At 35.0% G+C, this 17,285-nt stretch overlaps 2 long non-coding RNA genes across 2 annotated transcripts in view; one reads left to right on the forward strand and one right to left on the reverse strand.

The window, feature by feature from the left end:
• The window catches only part of LOC107985243 (uncharacterized), a 79,017-nt gene that overhangs the window by 50,844 nt on the left and 10,888 nt on the right, over nt 1–17,285 (reverse strand). The gene's annotated exons all lie outside the window — the stretch shown is intronic.
• LINC02789 (long intergenic non-protein coding RNA 2789) overlaps nt 1–17,285 on the forward strand; it is a 244,710-nt gene that overhangs the window by 2,052 nt on the left and 225,373 nt on the right. Inside the window, exons 2-3 of the long non-coding RNA NR_147896.1 lie at nt 10,774–10,836; nt 11,816–11,921. This is a non-coding gene — a long non-coding RNA (long intergenic non-protein coding RNA 2789). The remainder of the gene's footprint in view (nt 1–10,773; nt 10,837–11,815; nt 11,922–17,285) is intronic.

Consider the following 17,285-nt stretch of genomic DNA (forward strand, 5'->3'; position numbering starts at 1 on the left):
TTTTATTCTTTTTGGAGGTATAAATTAAATGGAAATAATATGGAATATATATTAGATCTGACCAATGTGTCTCAATGATAGAAAAATATGGACAATTCACTATTTTATGATGAATATAAAAAAATTCCAGAAATAAAAGTTAGCTTTACAAATCTGTTGACTGAATTATTAATAATCCTAGGCAAAAAAAAACACCATCAAGAAAAAATAAACCTTTGATTTTTGCTTAGAAAAGTTAGTAGTCATTGAAAAAGTAGGTCAGTGAAATAACTGGATTACTCAAATTAATCAGAACTGACAGGTAGACTACTAGAAGTCTACAGGCTACAGAGTTTTGGTTTGAATGTTTTTGTAAATCTGGCATTTCTTAGGAGACAGATGAAAATTAATAAGATTATGCTAATTTATAGCATAAAGTAAAATGTTTTATAGCACTAATACCATCGAAGACTTTACTGAGCACTGAAAAGTAAATGTAATAATTCTAATTGTAAATTTATTTTATGTTTTTCAAAATCAGAAATCATCCAAAACTCAGTTACACTGATGCAATTATTTGTACATGCAAATATAATTAGGATGAATATTTTATGCTTAACTTCAAAACGATGGTAAAATTTCCAATACCACATTGTATTTTTAAGTTCATGCAGTAAGAGTCATCTAAATGATGTAAAGAAAATAGGGGTAAGCAAGTGTAAACATAATGGTTTTGCTTTTTAAAATAGTTCTGGGTGGATTTAAAAATTATGTATGTTTATACTTTACAAATTTAACACATTAATAAAAGTCCAAAATTTGGAAAAGAGTGATAATGGATTTACTTACGCAGGCCACGTTTTTAAATTTTGTATTATTCCGAGATGGCTTCTTATGCTACTTGATGTATCACTAGACTAAATATTCTTTGGGTTTTAAATTGATGGTAAATGTGTTGGCCCCCAGTTGAAGATTCCATGTGAAATATGCTGTCTGCAAGAAAACGCATCACTCTAAAGTGTATTTTAAAACTATTAGTAAAGGCACTTTCCACCCTGATAATTTGCATAGAACACAGTGAAGCAAAGAAACATGCGATGCCTTCCAGCTAGATGCTAATAAGGCCACAGGAAAAAAAAAAAAGAGCATTTCAAATATGTCTGCATAGCACCCCCATGTCTTTCTCTAAAGTAGGCTGAAGACTCCTCATTGCTTACACTGCAAAAATTTAGAACACTTTCAAATAAAATACATCTTCACCACTTTTTTAAAGGAAATTATTACGTGTTACTCTTAACTGATCTATTTTTAGGAGCCAAAAGCAGCAGGGTATGTCAGAAAGGGCTGCTTCATGAATTATGTATTTGTCCTTTTTCCACTTGGCTACATTCGTTTTATTTTATGAATCCTTGAAATCCTGAGAATGGTAAGTTTTAGGCTGAAATTTTCAAAATTTCCTAGCCATATGCTTACTTATCCAGCTACATCTTTCTACGAGGCACTTGCTCCTCAGAGAAACCAGCTCCAGGACCTTTCTTCATGAAATATAAAAGTGATTCATTTTTTTTTAAACGAAGGCTGCGTATCACTTGAATTGTTTTCATTTGCATCATAAGGTTTTTAATTACTACTGTCATTGTTTTCACTTCCCTAAACTTGTAGTTAAAGATTCAAAGTGTATTCACCTCTCAAGGCTTAAATTCTATTAGATGGTGCATATTTTGTTATTGGCTTACTGTTTTACCAGAAAATCACAACAAACTATTGCAAATAAGTAAGTTGAAAGTAAACTGGTTGTATAAATTTTACAATTTCCATTAGTTAAATATGGTAGCAACAAAATTATAAAACCTATATGAACAATATTCTTCCATAAAGCTTTGTGTAAGAAAAATATTTCTAACAGCTGTGACTAAAACTCTAGAAATAAGATCATTATTGCTGACCCTGAGCTGAATATTAAACATAAAAATATTGATTTGCTCCTCATCCTCATAAGAACATTTGCTTCGGACATAAATAGGAGGGTCTGGCTCACTGAAAGAAGCTCTCCCACTGCCCCCTGCATCCTTTTGTCTTTATCTAATTCCATCATCTCAGATACCAAAGATTCCCTCTCACAATGGTTTGCAGTTGCTTGTTATGCATGACCTTCTGTATTTTGCCTGTTCCTTTCGTTGCCCCTGGAAAAACTGAAGAGGAAAAAAAGAAGAAGAAAGAAGAAGAAAGGAGAAGGAGAAAGGAGGAGAAGGAGGAAGGGGAGGAAGAGGGAGAGGGAGAGGGAAAGGCGGAGGAGGAGTAATAGCTGTACTACTGCCTTTCCCAAAGTCGGTTCACGCTTGATGCTCTCACTGAAGCAGGTCAAAGAAGGTGAAACTCCTTCCTTTTCAATAGACTGCATTTTTAAAGTTAGAATTCCACATTGTACTTAAATAATATAGAAAATGTAATTTTCAGCCTTTAAACCACAATTCCAGACCACAAACAAATTTTGAAGAGCGAATTTAAATTTCTTATGAACTATTTTTATGATATTAGTATAAAGTTAATGTGGTGATAAAACCTTTTGCAATCATCTTCTTGGAGATCAGGGCTTATTTTCCTTGATAATTTATTTAAGTTTGAGAATATTAGAAACAACATCACCAAAAATAAAAGTGGGTTACTTAAAGATTTTTTTCTTGCAAATGACTCTTATGTCAAGTCACTTGATTTGCAACAAATAATAATTAAATTTTCATTCGAATAATTTTTTGGAAGAGCTTTCCTATAAGTGTAAAATTTGTACTCAATGTTTTCCTTTATTCAAAATGTCAGAACTTTAATTTCTGGTGATGTTAAAATACAGCAATAATATGGCAAAACATATTAAATGTGAGCAAAAGTGAATGATGTGAAAGGACCAGAGTGTATAAGGAGAAAATTTAGGTATTTATGTACTCTATAATTTTAAAATTATCATTGGAGAAAATGAACTTATCACTATGCACATTTACTTCATCTGCAACCATTGTTTATTGCTTTAAGGAATTATTCAAAGTATCTCTCTATTCTAAACCCTTTACAGTTCTTTATAAGTTAGCATACATTTTCTTTTTTTTTTTTTTGTAGAGACAGGGACTGGCTTTTTTGCCCAGGCTGGTCTCAAACTCCTGGGCCCAAGCAATCCCCCTGTTTCAGCCTCCCAGAGTACTGGGATTACAGACATGACGTAGTACACCCAGCCTTTCAATGGTTGATGATAAAACAAAAATTCAAACTAGAACAGACTGTTTCTCAGACATTATATGTCAGTGATTTGTGATGGTTTTAAACACTTTATGCCTGTTTTTATTTGTTAGAGACCAATATGTGTCACCAATACAAGAGAGAAGCATCCCTCTTGATCCCAATCTCTTCTCTTATGGTGGTTACATTTAATGTATATGATAAAGTGATGAGATGTTTGCCTGTGGTTTATGGGCCCAGAGTAAGTTACTAACCTTATGTCTATTGGTTTATTTCACACAATGTATATTCCAACAGTGCTTAGCTTTTCCAGAAGAAAAGAACATCAAAGTTTTCCAAATTTACATACATATCAACCTAAGTATTCACACCTATTCATAAATACAGTCTTCAAATTATTAAGTTGAGATTATTTTCAAACTGATCTGTAAAACATACATTATTAATTAGAGGAAATATATCTTTATAAGAATAAAACACTTGTGGTTTACTAAATTACTAAGAATTAATTATAAACTGGTGGTATGTACCTCCCTCTCTATCCTTCTTTTTTACTAAATTGAAATAAATCAAAAAAAGAAAGCAGGTGGGTAGTTACAAAAATGTTTCATTAAAAAAAGCAGTAGGAACCACAGAGAATCTTATGGTTTTTGAGTAGAAAGTCTGATTCTGCAATGCTGACTGTTGCTAAGACTGAGGCTGTGCAGAATTTAAATATGATAGAAACAGTGAGCTTGCAATATCTGTGCCCACTGAAATACAGAGAGCCCTAATTTGTTTTGCTTTTAATTATAATGACATTTTCTATTATTAATCACCAATTGGGAAGCAAGATGCTTTTTGTGATATGCTATTTTCAAGTCATAGTTTTTCTCCATTTGCTATGCACTTTATTTTTGTATACTGAGTTCATTAGGTTGCATTAGGCTCCTTATTAGAGAGAAAGACAAAGCTGGTCATTGTGCCCAAAGTGTCTATGTTTCAAAGATTACATAGATCATTATTTAAAACCATTTAAGTTTATGAGGAAAGAGAAACATTGTCCAGAGAATAAAGGCTACCTGCTTTGTACTTATTACTATTATTTTTATTAAGAGCAAATTATGTGTGCATGATTTCACATCTATAAACAACAAAAAGCCAAAAACCAAGTATAAAGGAGTAGTTTAAACTTTGAATCCCGTTCTCAATAAGTTCTTGAAGAAACAGTACAAAATAGGCAGAACAGAAAGATGAAACCAGAAGTTAAGGCATTAAACTTTGTTTTTAATCAGCCATATGAATGGTAACTCAACTTTTTGCTAGGTGACCATCTCTCTTCATAAATAGCAACTGTGATCATGATGACAATGTTCCAAACATAAGAAAATAAGAACATAATTAATCCTACAAAGTAGCCAAAATTCTGAAGTAAACATATTCCTTAGTATGACACTGAGGACATTTTCAGGGTAAGACATTGACCATGCTCTTTGGATTCCAGAAACGTAGGCATTCCATGGAGTTTTTCACACCCACAGGCCTTTGTTCATGTTATTTCCACATGGTTCCATTGCTCAAATGTCTTTTCTAATTTCTATTCTCTGTAATCCTTTTCCAGTCCCCATAATCCAAACCAATCACTCACTCTTCTGATCATACTTACTTTGTTTATGCTAATACCATAACAACTAAGTGTGTATGTCTCCTACATTAATTTGTTAGCATCTCAAAGAAAAGGACCAGGTGTTAGTCTTCTGTGTTCTTTCTAGCACCTAGCAGTGTATTGCAGTGTTCACAAATGTATACCAAATAGAATAGAATTGAAAAGATATCATTATCCTGATGTTAATTTTATGTGTCAACTTGACTGGTCCAGAGGATGTCAAGATGTTTGGTTAAACATTACTCTGGGCGTCTGTGAGAGTGTTTCTAGGTGAAATTAACATTTGAATTGATAGACCTAGTAAAGTAGATTGCCCTTCCCTTTGTGGTGGACTTCTCTAATCTATTGAAGGCCTATGTAGAACAAAAAGACTGAGTTAGAGAGAATTTGCTCTCTCTGCCTGGTAGTCTTCAAACTGGGACATTGGTCTTCTCTCGCCTTCAGATTTGGACTTGAGCTTGAACTGAACTTATGTCATTGGCTTGCCTGGTTCTCAGGCCTTTGGACTCAGACTGGAAATATATAGGTATATTCTATTGGTTCTTTTTCTCTGGAGAACCCAGAATAATACAATTATCAGCCATTCATTTGGGCATATGAAAATTTACAACTCTTAATCTTATTTAAAGGCCCATTTTAAAATGAAATTTCTCTTCCCATTCTTTATGAACCTATAAACAAACACTGTCTTCAAAGAAGAAATAAGAACTTCAGCAACCATAATTTAATTATTGCAAACAATTCTTTGGTCATGAAACAACAGCTTTGCAAAGTGGAACTATTTCATGGTACCATTTTATGGAAGGACAACTTAACAGCTACACTGGGAAAAACAATTCAGCATAAAAGTGATAAAATCACCCCGTTTCACCTCTGCCAATGGCTCATGGTGTTTCTAAAACAAGGGGAAGGAAATAGCCCTAATTATGTCTTGTTCAATTGCATCATTTAAAGCATTAACCTGCTTTTAGCAAGGCTGTTTTTGATAATCTATCTTTACTAAGCAAATGTTGCTTTTCTGCCATCTTTTCCCTATGGAAAAAAAATTTAGATTATTTGCAAATCATTAACACTAGGGAATATTAAAAAATAAAATATATTAACTTCAGTTTTCATGGGTTAAGAAAGAAAATGTTTGAGATAATAACTTATAAATAGGCACAGTAGGCCTGATTCTTCTAGAAGAGTATACATAGAAATGTGTATCTGACAACTCCAGTGTTATCAAACATGTATATTTGGAAATAGCGTTTACTATAGTGTACTCTCTGTCCTTCACCAAGCCAGTGACATACAGTGTATTCATGGCTCTGAGAGGAGATAGAGTAATAAAACATACTTGGTTTTATTTTATGGGCGATGGATTTTGTGTGACTTCGATGTACCAGTGTAAGTTCATTGATTGGGTGACTCTGATGTACCAAGGTAAGTTCATACGGTGTAACAAATGTATCACTCTGTTGTGGGCTATTGATAGTGGAACAGGCTGTGCACATGTAGGGAGAGGGGTATATGGAAACTACTTTCTACTCAATTTTGCTGTGAACCTAAAACTGCTCTAAAAATTAAAGTCTATTTAAAACAAAAGTAGGGGAAATAATCTACACATGAAATCCCTAAAGATAATTATGGTGCCTCATTGTATACTAGACTTTCTAGAAGGTTGTATCAAGTCTGCTTTCTCTGTACAAGTGCTCTCAAGGAACAAGGGGACACCCCTAGGTGCGTTCACTGAGGAACACACATGCAGGAGCCAAATGACTTCACACTCCTCAGTCAGAGAGGGCTAACATGAATTATAGTCAAAAGAAAGACAGGCACAGAACTGAACCTATCCCTGAAACTGGCTTCTCCCAAATATCTTTTCAAAATATCACCTTTCTTTTCTTTAATATTTTTCTTTGCCTATTTCTCTCAAATCCTGAAAAGGAGAAGGGAAGACAGTAGGCCCAATAAAGTGCAAATGGGAAGAAAGGGTGGTTAAAAACGATGACAGGTGTAACTGAAATCTGGAATGCTGTTAAATTTTTAACTCTCTCTCCTAATTATAGCCCTCCTGACACTTTCTGTTTCTGAGCTCCATCAGTGAATGGTGGAAATGACCTCAATACATTTCATTAACTAGATCTCAGATTTTTTTTTTCTTCTTCAATCACTTAAGCAAAGCAACTCTCAAGCCTGACTGTCCTGTAAAAGGTGAGGTCTCCTTCTTGAAGCTGAATCACTCCCTTGGGGTTTGAGGGTCATTTACCTTTGGTTAGTACAGCAGATGGAATGTTGTATGCTTGGCTCAGGGCTTCTGGCTGAGTGCCCTGGACTGTGAGGACAGTTGCTTAACTCAGAAGGTGGCTTCAGATTCCCCCTACCATCTTTCCAGGGCTCCCAGCTACTTGAGAAAGCTATAAATTACTGTTGTTAAAATGTTATACAAGAAACTAAAATATCTCAACAGCGTAAAAACCCAAGCCATTCAATTATTAATTAAAAAGGCAAATGATTTAAATAGATATTTTTCAAAAGAAGACATACAAATGACCAATAGTATATGAAAAAAAGTTCAGTATCACTAATCATCAGGGAAATGCAAATCAAAACCACACTGAGATCTCCTCCCACTCCAGTTAGACAAAAAATAACAAATGCTGGTAAGGATGCCTATAAAGCGGAACCCTTATATGCTGTTGATGGGAATGTAAATTGGTACATTTGCTATGGAAAACAATGTGTATGTTTCTTAAAAACCTAAAAATGGAATTACCATGTGATCCAACAATCTACTACTGGGTATATATCCAAAGGAAAGGATATCAGTATGTAGAAGAGATATTTACACTCTCATGTTTGTTGCAGCACGATTCACTATAGCCAAGATATGGAATCAATCTAAGTGTCCTCAACAGATGAATGAATAAAGACAATACACAATGAAATACTAATTTATATATACATATATATGTGTGTATATATATACAGACACAAAATGAACATATATACACATTGCATATATATACTACATTATATTATATGTAGTATACAATGTATATACAATGGAACACCATTTAGCCATAAAAAATTAAATCAAATCATTCAAGGCAACATGAATGAATCTAAAGGATATTATGTTAAGTGAAATAAGTCAAGCACAGAAAGATCAATACTGCATGTTTTCCCTCATATATGGAAGCTAAAAAAGTTGATCTAATAAAAGTGGAGTATAGCATTGCATTTACTAGAGGCTGGAAAGGGTAGGAGGGAGAGGAGATAGGGAGAGGTTGGTTGACAGGTACAAAATTACAGCGTAAACAGGAAGAATAAGTTATAGTGTTCTACAGCACTGTGAGGTGACTAAAGTTAACAACATTTTATCGTATATTTTCAAATGTCTAGATGGGAGAATTGTGAATGCTTCCAACACAAATAAATCATAAATTTTTTAGGCAATGGATTTGCTAATTACCATGATTTGATCATTAGACAATGTACACATGTATCAAAATATCACACTATACCCCCCAAAATAGTACATTTCTTATGTGCCAGTTAACGTAATAAAAATGTAGGTACGGCCAGGCGCAGCGGCTCATGCCTGTAATCCCAGTACTTTGGGAGGCTGAGGCGGGTGGATCACCTGAGGTCAGGAGTTTGAAACCAGCCTGGCCAGCATAGGGAAACCCCATGTCTACTAAAAATACAAAAGTTAGTCAGGCATTGTGGTGCATGCTTGTAGTCCCAGCTACTCAGGAGGCTGAGGCAGAAGAATCGCTTGAACCTGGGAGGCAGAGGTTGCAGCAAGCTGAGATTGAGCCACTGCACTCCAGCCTGGGCCACAGAGCAAGACTTCATCTCAAAATAAATAAATAAATAAATAAAAAGTAGGTACAGAATTCCAGATCAGATGTGTGCCCCAAGAAGTGATTTAAATAATAAATTATTGTTTCATTTCTGCAACATAGAAATGAGGAGCCAGTTTCTTAGAAAAATGAAAAAGAAAAAGACTTCATTGTATGAACATTTATTTCTTGGGCTTTTATTATAGTTACATTGTAGCACTTGTGTTAAAACTCATACATTTATCAAATAACCTAATGGTCCATATAGAGCATAATGAATGCTTCACAAATTATCAAAATTCTCTTGGATAGATGAGGTGTCTACATTTACTGAGTGTTTTATTTTTATTTTTACTTTTTGTATGCCAAGGTTTGTGCTAGGTTGCTTGCAATGTATTATCACACTTACTCATCACAGCTGTCCTAATGCTAACCTCTCTTTTGAACAAATAAAAAGTTGGAGACTTAGAAATGAGAAGAGTTTGCCCAAGTTTACACAGTTAATAAAAGACAAAATCGGGATATAAGAGCACTTGCTGTTTCTTATTACCACACTATTGACAGAAAATTGCAAAATGGCAGAATTTGAAACTGAGTCTCCTGCCCCTGAGTGTGTGTTCTTTTAATTATGATTCACACATTCCTATAAGCGCCTGAATTTTTCTCATGGAGTTAAGAATTGGCAGTGAACAACAAAATGTACTGAAAAATTCATGGGCTTTTGAGTAGGAATCCCCTGAGTCTAAATCTCAACAAAGCCATTTATGAGGGGTATTATTTGGGGCAAATTATTTAATCTCTCTAAGCATTCATTTCTATCTCTGTAAACCAATAATATACATTTCATAGGTAAAAATGGAAATAAAATGTATAGCATGTATTTGATATTGTGAAAAAATGCACATAACATCCATAGCATGATATTTGGCACTTAACTGTTGATACTCGATTATATAATAGACAGTTAAGTTTTTTCAAAATTATTCTAATATTGGCATAATACAAAAATATTTTGAAAATATATATTTGCCTGAGTCTATTGAGGCAAGTTGGGGTCCAGGAGCCTACAGGATAGGGGGGTGATTTAAAAGCGAAGATAATAAAAAGAAAAAGAAAATTAGTTTCTAAAATGCAAAAAGGAGGTGGAGGAATGTAATAGCATTACAAGACAGGCTAATGTCTTGAGATAAAATTATCCAAATATGTCCTTCCTCCCTACCCTCTTTCTCTTTCACATAATAAGGACTAAACTACCACTAACATGGATGGAGTATATCCCTCCATGTCTCCATGCCTATTACAGCAGCCAAGCACTACCCAATAATGAGATAGTAAGAGAACCCAGAGAAGAGATGGTATATTACATAAGTGGGGAAACACCAAGGGCAAAGGTAGTCCTCTAGTACCTCCTCTCCCAGTCCCAGTCTAGACAGAGGGAGTTACAATCCAGATTTTGAACACTTGTGCTCCTTGATTTTCCTTCCCCTATCCCTAGGCCCTGAAAGTTCACAATCTTAATTTATATTTTTTGGTGTTTTGTTTCTGTTTTGCTTTGTTTTGTATCTGACGTTCTCTACTTGCACAAACTTTGCCACCATGTTTAAATGACTTTGCATAGGGTTGGTAGTTCCTTCCAAGGAAGGAAGGGAGGGAGGGAGGAAGGAAGGAAGGAAGGAAGAAGGAAGGAAGGAAGGAAGGAAGGAAGGAAGGAAGAAGGAAGGAAGGAAGGAAGGAAGGAAGGAAGGAAAAATTATCACAGCAAGCAGTAGGGGACCTGAGGTCTGAGAGTAAGATCTTATTAGTCATAGACAAAATTTAAAAAATACTTTTCTTAGTGTGATTAAGTATGAGTAAATTTGCAACTCTGTATAAGAATCTGTTCTCACTCTCAATTCTCTAATTCATATTTTGAATATCATTGAAATAAACTTTACATTTCAATAAAAATACTCAATTTAGGTAGTAAGAAGCATTTTGATTGGTGTTAGATGATGACTTGAAATAAGTAAACTGACTGGATTATATTAATATTTTAATTAATATTTTTCCTCTCTGAATATTTTTCTTTCCTTTCTCTTCCTTCTCTTTCAGCATGAAATCAGCTCTGTGCTGAATGCCTCAGGGAAGGAATGTGGCAGAGAACAGAAAACAAAAGTAAGCAGCCATGGCTGTATTCATTTTCTAATTAATTCACTCATTTACTCTTTCAGTATATAGCACTGCTGAGAGAATTCCAAAATGGTAGCTTTTTTCCTCCTAAAATATGTCATGTCAGCTCATAACTTACCCTTATATTCATTTATTTAATAAACAAATATTTGTGTGTGTGCTCTTAGCATGTATCAGAGTATTCTGGATGCCGGCTGCCAAAGGTAAAATGGCAAGAAGACAAAGACCCTTTTCATGTGGAAGTAGAGGGCAGATAATTTTAAAAAGCAAGGAATTGCCTTGATGTATTTTCTATGCCCAAACTAAACTCCAGAGAGGAGAAGAAACATTGCGATGTAAACACACAAAAACAGAGAGACCTGAAAGGAAAAGGATTTTCCTCAGAGAATTATCTCCCCTCAGATTAAGAGAAGAAGGCAATGATGAGAGACCTGTGGTTTCCTGCCGGGGCTGAAGGTACCTCCCCTCCATTTCCTAGGAAAGTACAGCAAAAGGAGAAAATGGCTTCACACTGCTTCTGGGCGAAGAGAACATATGCCCTCTCTCCCAAGATTTGCCCACCAACCATGCTTGGCACTGAGGCATCAGAGAGAACTAAGGGACTTGTAAAGGCCACATAGGCCAGGATGACAGCTGTCTCAGCAGCTACAGGCATGGACTCACAGCCAACAACCAAATGGGCCATCCCCAACTCCTTGGCATTAAGACCTTAATATCATAGTGAAATCCTAACTAGAGAAATGTCAGTAAGGATTGGGGCTTGGGAGTTCAGGTATTTTTTTCCCAGCAGTCTAGTGGAATTTGTTCTGGAGTCAGAAATTAGATAGCTTATAAAAATTAAGTAATATATCATAATTTTTAATTTCATAGACTGAGATATCTATTACACCAGTACGGTGCTTGGGTAATCTATCGTGGCATCTTTCTTTTTTTAATTTTGCATTTTTTAATGTTTGTATTTCAGATGGTGTTTCGCTCTGCTACCCAGGCTGAAGTGCAGTGGTGTCATTATTTCTCACTGCAGCCTCAAACTTCTGGCCTCCAGCGATCCTCCTACCTCAGTCTCCAGAGTAAGCAGAATTATCAGTGTGAGCCACTATGCCTGGCTCTGTCTTGACACTTTTGTATTTTTCAACGCCACATTGAAGCAGCTGTCAAGTCCTGTCTCTTCCTGCACACTCTGTGTGTGTGTGTGTGTGTGTGTGTGTGTGTGTGTTTGTATATTTCTCAAAAGTATTGCTGCCTATCTTAATTACTGTTTCCTTGGCTCATCTCTCCAAATTGCTACCCTAACCAAATGTCCCTGCTTCCAGTTTTATTATCTTTCAATCAATGCAATACCCAGTGCATTTTATTTAAAATCTGTATCTCACAATGTCTCTTATCTGTTTCATACCCTTTGGTGGTATCTATCTGTCACAGTTAAAAACATGACCCACAAGCCCTTCCAGGAACTGGTTTTTCTCTTCTCCAGTCTTCAGCCTTAGCTCCCTCTACATCTTTCAGTTTGGTTTCTGATCCAGCAACATAGCCACATATTTTTTTCCCAGTTTTAGATCCTTTGCTCATGTTGTTCCCTCTGCTTGGAATTACCCTCACTTTGCACTCACTTTGCCTTTGTAACTTCCACTTATGCTTTAATGTTCAATTCAGGCATCCTTTCCATCAAGATAGTCTCTGATTTTGCTTTAGTCTACTTCCTGTAGTACCACTGTAATTTATGTAATAATTACACATAACTCCATTTTATATTCTGTGGACATCTAATTATGTATCTGTCTCTGCCCACAAACTGTGAGCTCTTTGAAGGCAGGAGCCATGATCACCAATCTTTAAGTCTCTATTACCTACAACAATTTCTGGCCTAAATAGGCATTCGATTCATGTTTGTTGAACTGAATAAAATTATCTAAACAGAAATCTGGCAACACTTCAGGGATCTTTCATCAGGAATCTAATTTTAGAGAATCCAGATGTTTCCAGGCAAGCAAATTAATGTGCCAGTAATTCTTCAGGGTCCATCAATGTATACGTTGTCTGATGAGTTTAAGGACTGATCAGATGCTGTTTCACAGACGTGAATGTCTAGAGCTGTTCCTGAGGTAAGACACTTTAATTATGTGGATGTGCCCTTTAGATTTGTATTCAGTGCTATCGTCATGATTACCAGAGCAATCATGACCATAATAATAGCAAGAGTCCCTTGCATTTATATAGTAGCTCATAGTATGTAAAGCATTTTCTTACACATCACAGCTTTAAAAGATAAACAGGGTAGGCATTATTATCTCCACTTCAGAGATGAGATAACTGAGGTTTAGAGAGAGTAAGCATGTGGTCTAAGACCTCAAGCCCATTAAACTGCAGAGCCAGAACTGAACTGACTTGTTAATCTTTGATTCATGCTGTCTGCTTAAATTCATGTCAACGATCATGTTTTCTAGAGGAAATAGGAATTGCCTATCTAAGCTCACTTCTTTTCATTTCAAACCTAGATGCAGGATGTGCCTAAAGAGAAAGAGAAAGAGAGGCATGATTTCTGCTACATGTCATTACTTTGGGTTCTTCAAATAAATCAATTAAATGTAAGCAAACTTCTAGTAAATAAATGAGTAACTATAATTGCTATGGAACATCTAAAGGTAATGTAATGGATAACTAATTGTTTTCAACGTGAGTGTAGGATTGGCACACAAAATTGGCAGAAACAAGGCAGCGTCTTTTGGGGACTTCTTGATCTCATTTATTTTTCTGTCTCTTCTCCCTAACTCACCACTATACATGATAAACTTAAAGCAACTAATCTCTCAATAACTGTTCTGCACTCATGTCTTATTTCCTGTCCTACCTGTCAAGTGCCATAGAGTAGCATTAATATCTTATTCAGTCTTATTAATTCATTTAATAAGCATGAATTAAATGTCAATTGCGTGCCAAGATTCTGATATACTCGAACGTTACCAAGATGAATGAGACCAAGCTAGCCTCAGCTCTCGTGTGGAGTATGCAATCCAGTGGGGGAAGATAGGTGACAATGAAAGCAACATTCCTGTGGGTTTCAGAAGTATGTGGTAGCACAGTGATAGCCCCCAAAAATGAATAAACCATTTAGCTTGGAGGATTCTAGTGAGACATCAGAGAAGATGCATACAACCTTTGAGCTTCAGTTTTATCATAAAACTAGTAGATGGTCAATAAATGGCACATAGTAGATGGTCAATAAATATTTGCTGGTTGATTAAGACACAATCTGGTACAAGTTATTACAACCCTGCTAAATTCAAATCACTATAGTATACTCCCTCTTAGAAACATTAGCCTTATAACTTCATCTGAGTTTGTGGAATTAAAAGTTTCTCTCTGTATTATAGAAACTTCAAGCATCCGCAAAAGACTGGGCAAGACATCCTTCCAGCTATATTTGACAATCACCTCCCTTGCCTATGAGCAAGGTAGTAAGCTTTTTCTCACAAGCTGTTCACTCTGAATGAAGAATTTGTTCTTTTTCGGGGGACTGAGTGTCTCTTACATGAGAGAGGTTTGTTTCTTCCTGCCCAATTTGAGTTTTTGTGTTCTAACATTAAAACATAGTGAGTGAAGATTCTTTTCATCCACCCATTTCTAAGTCAGATGAGTCAATGTGAGATGGCAAAAGAAATGATGATCACTTAAGAGACCCTGTGATCTCTTAGAGTTGACCACAGAATTAAATATGGCTTCTTCAGGTAAAAGTCAGTAAACCAAATTAACTGTCACCTATTATACTTTTCCTCCTTTGCTGGCACGTCACCTATTATATTTTTTCTCCTTTGCTGGTATTCCTTTTGAAGTGAAAGTCAATAAACCAGAATAACCATCACCAATTATGTATTTCCCCCTTCACTGGTAAGGCAAATCTTTCTTTGTAAATTTTTTAAAAGATAATAGGAAAACAAATGGAATTCTAATGTTTTAAAGTTTTGTGTTTCCCAAAATTCAATCAAAAATTTTGACAACATACATTTGTGGTTCCAGGAAATTCAAATAAAAATAGCTTTTGAAGACTTAAAAAAAATCCCCAATGGATAAATATAAAAGTTTAATGGCACTATAGTCTTCTGGAGCAAATGTGAAATACTTTCTGCCCTTTGGGTTTATTTCTTTTGCACAATTTCTATTTTAAAAATTTTCTACTGGCACTGACTCTAGAGCTGTACACTGGCTTTCTAGTATAAGTAAGTCTGCAAGCCTGGCTTACGTACAAACACTGTACTGGATGCTTAAACAAGAAAATTAAATAAACCCCTAATTCATCACTTTCCTTCATCCTCCCTTTCACCTGTCACCCTACCTCCACCCCAAGTTTCACAGCCTAAACAGAAGAGATCAAAAGACTGAAATATTAGTGATATTTTGGAAGGAAGAATAGATGGAATCCAGATGGATGGAAACCTTTATCTGATTCTTGCACACATGGCCACAGGTAACTACTGCATTACTTTCTGTCAATCGTTTCTCTGTTCTTTTAGTTTGATGATGACTTCTGCTAAAATATCTTGCCAAAAATAGAAAAATTTCTTGTAAAGTAATTAATACAGTATTTATATAGAAAAAGCTTCATGGGATGGGCGTGGTGGCTCATGCCTGTAATTCCAGCAATTTGGGAGGCCGGGTGGGTGGATTGTTTGAGGTCAGGAGTTCGAGACTAGCATGGCCAACATGGCGAAACCCTGTCTCTACTAAAAATACAAAAATTAGCCGGGTATGTTGGTGCGTGCCTGTAATCCCAGCTACTCAGGAGGCTGAGGCACCAGAATTGCTTAAACCTAGGAGGCAGAGGTTGCAGTGAGCTGAGATCATGCCACTGCACTCCAGCCTGGGTGAAAGAGTGAGACTCTATCTCTAAAAAAATAAAATAAAATAAAATAAAATAAAATAAAATGAACAAACTTCATAAAAAAAACTCTTCTTTTCCAAAAAGCCTATGTAGAAATGTAAAATATTAACTTGTTCAATATTACCCTAAGCCAATGAGGTAAAGAGGAGGCAAAATAGCACTGCTATTTTCAATTTTTGTCTAGGTCAGGTGAAAGCTGAAATGATTTTTTCAAAATCAAAATGCAAGTCAGTGATGTGACAGATAGTATGGCCATGTGTTTCTTTGGTATGTGAATAAACATTTAGCCAATATTATTGTTCTATAATGGGAAAATTCAGAAACAAACTGTTCTTTCATCATTTAAGTAAAGATGCTTGTTTAGCACACATTTATTTTCAAGAAATTCTCTTGACAAAATATAAAAGTTCAATGATTTAGAGTAGCAGTCATCAAAATAGCCACATAACACAGTGGAAATAATGATGAATAACAAAAAAGATCGAGATTTTAATCCTAGATTTGCCACTGTTAACTCATGGTCTAACAAAAAGATTACATTTTCATTTAAAAAAGCAAACACACAAAAAATAACCAAAAAAAAAAAAAACCCCATGAGTATAGTTATAACTTCCATGAAAGTCTCACTGGATTTTCATGAGATGCTAGATTCATTATCCGTAAATGATGTGTGGAGTTATATACACTCTCTATATATATTTATACTTTATAGATAATGGATTATATATCTAAATTGATTTCTAACACTTAAGACTGATATAACAGAAATGGGAAATATCATTCACAAAAATGATAGTTAAGACTTATTGAACTCATACTATATGCCAAGTATTAAGGACTTTATATCTGATACTTACTATTCCTTAGGACAACCCCAGGAGGCAGGTTCTGTATGATTCTCATTAACAGATGAGGAAACTGATATTAACAGGATTTTCCCCCCACTCTCTCTTCTGTATGCAGAATTTTATATTCGGGTATGGCTGACAGATTTTCAGTCATTCACATATTAACACCCAGGCTTCATACAAAATAATCTCTAGTTAAACGGAGCTACAGTTTCAGGTAACAAGATACTAAGTTTTACTTGTGGGTTTTATTCCAAGATATATATATTTCTATTGATCTAGCTCCACACTATTTCTATAATCAACTGAGCTTACCATACTTAAGAAAACAAATAATGGTTCAGTGAATATATATGCATAGAAGTATTAGTTAAGTGATTTTCAATTTCTTTCAAGATTAAAGTTTATTCAAATATGTAATGGACTATTGCGACATCTTCAAATGTTTTTCCATAATTTAGGCAACAAGAAGTATAATTTTTTTCATCGAGTCCAGTTTGATTGACTAATTTACATCATCAAATACATTTTTCCTTGTTGAAAAATGTACAAATTGTTTACAGTGAAAACGAGATTCCAATAGCTTTAGTTACTGCATTATTATATTTGTACTATATCAAAATTCTGAATTAAAAATGTTCCTCTGTGGTTATTTTAAGGTCTCTAATTTTGTGCTATTTAAATAAAAGCCAGATATTTAGAAATTTTGG

The sequence above is a fragment of the Homo sapiens genome, chromosome 1 (genome assembly GCF_000001405.40).
Source record: "Homo sapiens chromosome 1, GRCh38.p14 Primary Assembly".
In the NCBI taxonomy this organism is placed as follows: domain Eukaryota; kingdom Metazoa; phylum Chordata; class Mammalia; order Primates; family Hominidae; genus Homo; species Homo sapiens.